The sequence below is a fragment of the Homo sapiens genome, chromosome 9, assembly GCF_000001405.40.
Source record: "Homo sapiens chromosome 9, GRCh38.p14 Primary Assembly".
In the NCBI taxonomy this organism is placed as follows: Eukaryota; Metazoa; Chordata; class Mammalia; order Primates; family Hominidae; genus Homo; species Homo sapiens.
Window position 1 is genome coordinate 135587222 of NC_000009.12, and position 7097 is coordinate 135594318.

Genomic DNA, 7097 nt, shown 5'->3' on the forward strand with positions numbered 1-7097 from the left:
GCCCCATGAGTCCCAGCTGGACAGGAAGGTACAGGCAATGGGGCTGGATCCCAGCCTGTGCACCATCCTTGGCTCCCATCCTGGGCACTTGCTATGGGAGCGGCACACGGGGACTGGGGTGCCCCCAGGAGTGACACGAAGGGACGGGGGTGCCCTCAGGAATAACACACTGGGACGGGAGTGCCCCCGGGAGTGACACGCGGGGACAGGGGTGCTCTCGGGAGTGACACGTGGGGACAGGGGTGCCCTGAGGAGTGACACGTGAGGACAGCAGTGTTGGGGGAGGGGCCAGGGCTGCAGTGTTGCCTTCTTTCCCCAGAGCAGACAGCACCACATTTGTGCAGAATCTGCTGGGTCCCCAGGCTGCCATGGGGCTCTCAGGCCCTCTGCCTGCCCCACAGGCGGTACCCCTGCCCCAGCTGTCCACAGTGCTGACCTCACACCCGCCATTGTCCAGGAGCCCCAACCCAGGAGGTGCTTACACCACTGGCTGCCAGTCTGGACCCAACCCAGGCCCCTCCCACATGAGGCCCTGCCAGGAACTGCCCGGCCGGCCGGGACACAGAGAAGGTTCCCATGTGGATGTAGGGAAGAGCCTCCCATTGTCCCAGTGGAGGAAGCTGCCCACCGGCAGAGGATGAGTCACAGGGTTGGAGGAATCACGTGGGGAGGCTGTGGGCGGGGCTCTTGTCTGCCCTCCTCCTACATAAGTCCCCCCAAGCCCACACTACCTCAGCATCCCTCTCACTCCAGAGCTCAGAGCCACCCACAGCCACAGCTATGCAGTGCCTCCTGCTCACCCTGAGCATGGCCCTGGTCTGTGCCATCCAGGCCAGGGACATCCCCCAGACCAAGCAGGACGTGGAGCTCCCAAAGGTTTGAGGTCGGGGGATGGGGCGCTTTACCGTGGGAAGCCTGGGGCTGGTGGGAGCTGCAGGCATCTGGGAAGCCCAGGATCTCAGAAACCTACAGGAAGCACAGAATTAGGCCACAGTGTGAGGGGCCACCTTGTGTCCCCAGATGCGAGGGGAGCTTGTTCCGCCTCTGTCCACCTGGGCCCTGAACCCACAGCTGCCCTCTCACCCCTGGGACGCAGCAGCCTCTGTGGTGCTGTGCCTTCGATGGGAGCTCGGGCGGGACGGCCCTGGGTTAGGCAGAGTGGTCAGGATGGTTGCTCCAGATACATAGGAACCTCCAGCCAGGCGCTGGCGCATGGCAGTTGGTTCTCAAACATGCCCTGAATCCTAATTCATCGCCTTCCGCACACCACCCGGGAAAGCTGGCCATACAAGGGACTGGGCCCTGCCTACACAGGGGGTGACCAGAGCCATGGTGGGGTGGGGACCTCCATGCAGCTCAAGGCCCCCTCAGTTGGCAGGGACCTGGTACTCCATGGCCATGGTGGCCAGTGACTTCTCCCTCCTGGAGACCGTGGAGGCCCCTCTGAGGGTCAACATCACCTCGCTGTGGCCCACCCCCGAGGGCAACCTGGAGATCATTCTGCACAGATGGTGGGTTCCTCGTCACTGGGGCTGGGGCTGGTGGGGGGCTCAGTCTCCCTGGGCCACGGGTCCAGGGCTGGGTGGGGTGGGTGGAGCTGGGGTTCAGCCCCAGGCATTTCCTGACATTCCTGAGGCTTCACTGTGGGCCTTCCATGGTGCCTTGGGCTGGGGTGGAGAATGGGGCTCAGGAGGTTCCCACTCCCCTTGGAGCCCCTGCCCAAGGGCTCTGGGCCAATGGACTGAAAACACAGCACAGCCCTGGTTCTGTCTTTGGGGAAGGCCAGGCTGGGCTGCTGTGGGCCGCAGCCCTTCTGGGACCTGCGCGGTTCCTGCCACGGCCCTGCCTGGGCCCCTGGAGTCAGGTGGCTGAGGAACTGGGGGTGTGGCCGTGATGGGGCCAGGATCCTCATAAACACTATGTCAAAGCCTCACACAGTCAGGGTCAGTTTTGAGCTGCCTTGTGGCTCAAACACCTGGCCAATGGCCAGCTCTCCTGCCAGGTCCTGGCTGCCTCCGTCCGCCCCACTGTCCACCTGGCTGCCTGTTCCGCCTTGGAGGCCCCATTCAGGCTGATGCCTGACGACCTGGCTGGGCTGGGCGTGCTGTGTCCCCAGGTCACTTCCTGGAGTGCAGCCTCCATCCCTGCACTGGGCCCATGGACAGCCCCACCTCTGTGCGGTTTCTCAGGGAACACCACAGATGCGTTGAGAGGACCGTCCTCGCCCAGAAGACTGAGGACCCGGCTGTGTTCATGGTCGACCGTAGGTGCCCCAGCCCCGGGCCAGTTCCACACTGTCCCCTGAAGCCTCTCCACAGAGCCAGAAGCCAGCAGGTTCCCTCCCCCACGGCTGGGTCCTGCTCTGAGCCTCGTCCCGTCCCAAAGGCTCCTGGCAGCTGAGCCTGGGGGTTGAGGCTGTGACCCACTTGGTGTAGGGACAGAGCCTATAGCATCTTGTTGACCTCAAACTCATCAGGACCTGAATCTGAGCTCACAACCACAGGTCTGGGTTGGGAGCATTTTCTGTCACCTCGGGCAGGCAGGTGGCAACCTCCTTGCTCGGAAACCTGCAGCCTGTGGCCCAGCTGTCTTGGATCCTTAAAAATAACCAAATTAACTAGACCTGCAGCTAGACACGCAGTAGATTGGCCTCTCAAATCTGGCACCTGCTTCTGGAACACCCTGGTCCTCACCGACCTCTTCCCCATCCCAGCAGCTCCCAGAGTCTCTTTCTGCTCCCCCAGTGCCCTGCCCCACCGGCATGGCCCACATCCCTGGCGGCCTCCCCCAACCTTGGCCTTAGCTGGAACACAAGCCAGGCCCCTGCTCCAGCAGGTGAGGCAGGGTCCAGTCTAATCTCCAGAGCTGTCCCTGCCACACATAGGCGGAACAACCAGGCAGCCACATAGCCCCCCATGTCTGCAGTTCCTCACCTGCAAGCAGGGACCCCCACTCAAGCTCACGTCTATCTGAGAAGGGGAGGCTGCAAGGGGCTGGAGCAGACATGGCTCTGTTTCTTTCCTCCATTCTTTGATGTCTGTGCACAGCTCCAACCTCCAGACTGAAACCGAGCTCCAGCTCATGAGCCTTCCCAGGCCTGCTGTGCACCTGCCCTGAGAGGGAGGCACCATGAATGAATGAATGAATGAATGAATGAATGAATGAATGTCACCTCCGGGTCACGGAGGAGTAGAATTCATCCAAGGAGGGCAGTAAATCTGGAGAACGGCTTCGTCAGAGCCGCAGTTTGGAAGAACTACCTTTGCAGCCTTTTGCCCACGCGGGGGTGCAGAAGGGGCTGGTCAGTGCCAAGGTGGTGCTGCCCGGACCCGCCCCTCCATCCATAGAATATGTCGTGCTGCAGTGGTGAGCGGCCAGCAGCCATCGCAAAGGTGGAGACTGAGCGTCAAGGAGAGGTCCAGGAAGGAGGGAGGCCGGCTGCCCAGGTGCAGGGAGCGGCTACTCCGTGGTCCCGTGAATGGCTGCTGTCAGCCCAGCACCCAGGAACAGAGGCCATAGGGAGGGACTCAGATGTGATTTCTGGTGTCTGTTTTTGTGTTTTTTTCCAGGTCGCGGGACAAGAAAGATCTCTGTGTTGGACACAGACTAGACGACAGGAGCTACGTGTTCTTCTGCATGGGGACCACCACACCCAGTGCTGACCACCACACGATGTGCCAGTACCTGGGGATGACACAGGGGCCCCCGGGCTTCATCTGAACAACCCCGAATCCGGTCCTTTTCTCAGTGGGAGGAGAGAGGGGCCGCCCTGCCCACCTCCCCAGGCCCCATTCGCCGGAGGTTGCCTGGTGTTGGTGTCGGAAACCAGAAGCCACCAGGGAAGATGTTGCGGTAGGGGGGATTTTAATGGGGGCGGGGGGCAGGGACTAGTGTCAAATTTGGGTCAGGCCAAAGGGGGCCGATGTGGTAAACGGGTCTGGCAGCAAGTGGAGGGGCCACATCTTACAAGCAGATAGAACTGGCCAATATTAGTCCATCAACCTTCATTAATGGAGATTTAAGTTGGATCTCAAATGTGAATGCAGCTTTAAAAGGTGATAGTCTAACCCCGGTAAAGCTCATGGTGCTGTTGCCTCTGTTCTTAAGGGTCCCCAGGGTTCCTAAATGGACCATTGGTGTTGGGGCTATAGATACATCCCCTGTTCTATAAATCCGCCCTCCTGGATTGCGGGAGACATCAGTGGGACTTCAGGGGAGGCAGGAACTTTTCGGAAAAAATATAGCCACATAGGCACAGCCCTTCCCCATGTTTCTGAGCGCACCATTTCCTCTGGGGTCACACAGGTGTCTTCTTGATCAGCCTCAGCTGTGCTTGGTGAGAGCCAGGCACCGGGGGAGGCAGGCACTATGCTCTCCTTCCGTGACACTGTAGACACCATCCTGAGCCCCAGTGCTGCCCAGAGCGGGCCCCAGTGCTGCCCAGAGCGGAGCAAAGGGGGCCAGGCCGAGGAGCGGGAGTTGGGGACAGGGAATCTACAGGCCAGGAGCCCTAGAGACCGCCCTGGGGACCTGCTCCAGACCAAACTCTGCCTGACCTCGGAGCACTGGGTCCTCCTTCCCTGCCCTCCCTCCCCAGGCAGGGTCCTTGGAGCTCCCAGGGCCCAGGACTGAGCCAGCGTCCCCCACAGCCAGGACCCTAGAGGCAGACGACAAGGTCATGGAGGAATTCATCAGCTTTCTCAGGACCCTGCCCGTGCACATGTGGATCTTCCTGGACGTTACCCAGGCGGAAGGTGAGCTCCACCCAAGACAGGCCCAGCCTCGGCTGGAGGAGAAGCCACCACTGTCCCAGCCCAAGCCCCCCGCTGGCCCTGTAGGACTCAGGGCAGCACCCGTCACTCCTCGTTGGCCCCTCCCATGTTCTCCCCAGGGCTCCCCTGGGGATGCAAAGGCACCCTGAGGTGGGGTCCCGTCCCCCTCCCATCATCCCCCAACCTCTGGCCCTGGGACTGCTGTGTCCCCAGCTAAGTCTCCCCTCCCACTGACGCCCCCACTGCCCCCTCTCCTCCCACAGAACAGTGCCGCGTCTAGATGAGCTCCTGCTCAGTCCTGCCTCCTGGGTAATGTACCAGCCCCGCCCATAGCCTGAGGTCGCCTTTCTGGGCTCCTGGAAGAGACCCCACTGTGTCCATTCCCCAGGGCTGACCCTGAGCGATGGGCTGGAATCCTGGGGCATCTGGAAAAGCCCAGCTGGCCATGTGCCCGCGTCTCTGGGGTTGGCTGCTCCAGATGCCATTTCCTGTGTCCTGGGCACAGGATGAGGCCTTCTCCTCCAGGGTGGGGGTGAGTGAGGGTGGGGGGCTCAGGGGTGGGCCTGGGATCATAAGCCCCTCCGGCCTGAAGCTGGGGGTGAGGTGGGGGCTCCTCTCACATAAGCAGGGGTCCCTCACTCTAGGACCTGCAGGGGCAGGGTCCTAGAGTCACAGGGGAGCCCTTTTGTGCACATCAGGTCCTGGAGCCTCGGCCCCTGTGCGGACGGAGAGGATGTCGCCTTCCTGGGAGGGACAAGGAGGCTGAAGACCAAGGCACGTTTCCTGGGACGCTGGGACCTCCTGGGTCTCAGCCTGGGGTCTCCTGTCCTAAGCTGTCCCTCTTTGAACAATAAATAACCCCGTCCCCTGAGTCTGTGCTGGCAGGCGCGTGGGGATGCAGCTGAGGGCAGGCTGTGGGGCTGGGGAACTCGGGGACTGGCAGACTCAGGGGCTGGGGGGATCGGGGACTGGGGGACTCAGGGGCTGGGGTCTCAGAGGCTGGGGGGCACGGGGGCTGGGGACTCGGGGGCTGGGGACTCGGGGGCTGGGGGACTCGGGGGCTGGGGGCTTGGGGCCTGGATGACTCAGGGGCTGGGGGACTGGGCTGGGGGGCTCAGAGGCTGGGGGGCTCAGGGGCTGGGGGGCTTGGGGGCTGGGGGACTCGGGGGCTGGGGGGTTGAGGGAACTGAGTTCATGGTTTCTGTATTGTAGGCCCTATCATATTTGGGGATCAAGACACTATAGGAGGCTTTAAAATTTTCAGGAACTAGATAAGAGTGCTGCTGAGATGGCCAGAGCTTGCCATTCATGTTGGAGGTCCAGGCCACACAAAGGACAAAATATGAAAAATCACAGACCCATTCATTGAATAAATATTGATATAAAAACTTAAATGAGTGTTTTACAAATCAAATTCTGCACTATTTAAAAAACACAAACCCCATGACCTCCAGGGCATCTCTCTGGAGCATAAGGGAAGTTGCTACCAGGAAGAGCTTTGCTATCAGCCTTCATCTGCTCATAAATGCCATTGATCTTTTCTGGGCTAATGTGAAATAAAGAGATTTCCCCTGGATTGAGGAACTGAACAAAAGAGGTGAGATATGGGAGAGGAATTTGTTTTTCATTATAAAATATTTTGAACATCACAAAAGGAAAAAGAATATGCAACAACAGAAATAGATTTGTCAATAATTGTAACATGCATAACTTTAAATTTTCAAAATATAGATGGCATGGATACATTTCCAATAAAATATCAATGACCAATATTGGCTCAAAAAGTAGAGGAAACTTAGAAAGAACAATCATCATAGAAAAAACCAGAATAGTTCCAGATCTTCTGTCTGTGGATGAGAATAAAAAACCTTTATCTGATAGTTCCTGGCTCATACGATCCATTCCAGGGCATAGAAAAAGACGGTGAGTTGCTCAGCTGCCCTGATAACAAAACTGGAGAAGGAAGATACAGGAAAAGGAAAGCTGTCAACTTTCAGAATCAAGACACAAATATCTGAATACCTTATTAGCAGACTGAATCTAACAAACGTATTTAATACATCATGATTTAGCCCAAAAAACAAAGAACATTTCAATATTAGAAAATGTATCAATAAAAGCCAGGTGTGGTGGCTCACACCTGTAATCCCAGCACTTTGGGAGGCCAAGATAGGCAGATCGCCTGAGGTCAGGAGTTCAAGACCAGCCTGACCAACACGGTAAAACCCCGTCTCTACTAAAAATACAAAAATTAGCTGGGTGTGGTGGCAGGTACCTGTAATCCCAGCTACTCCGGAGGCTGAGGCAGGGGAATCACTTGAACCT

General features: G+C 58.4%; 1 pseudogene, besides 1 other annotated feature; it reads left to right on the top strand.

Moving 5' to 3' along the window:
* Positions 101–851: an enhancer, noted in NCBI's record as "H3K4me1 hESC enhancer chr9:138479168-138479918 (GRCh37/hg19 assembly coordinates)". NCBI's record gives its function as "activates a minimal SCP1, AML or CMV promoter by ChIP-STARR-seq in naive H9 embryonic stem cells {active_cell/tissue: H9 hESC(naive)}" and the evidence as "EXISTENCE:reporter gene assay evidence [ECO:0000049][PMID:30033119]".
* PAEPP1 (progestagen associated endometrial protein pseudogene 1) lies at positions 785–4672 on the top strand (annotated as a pseudogene).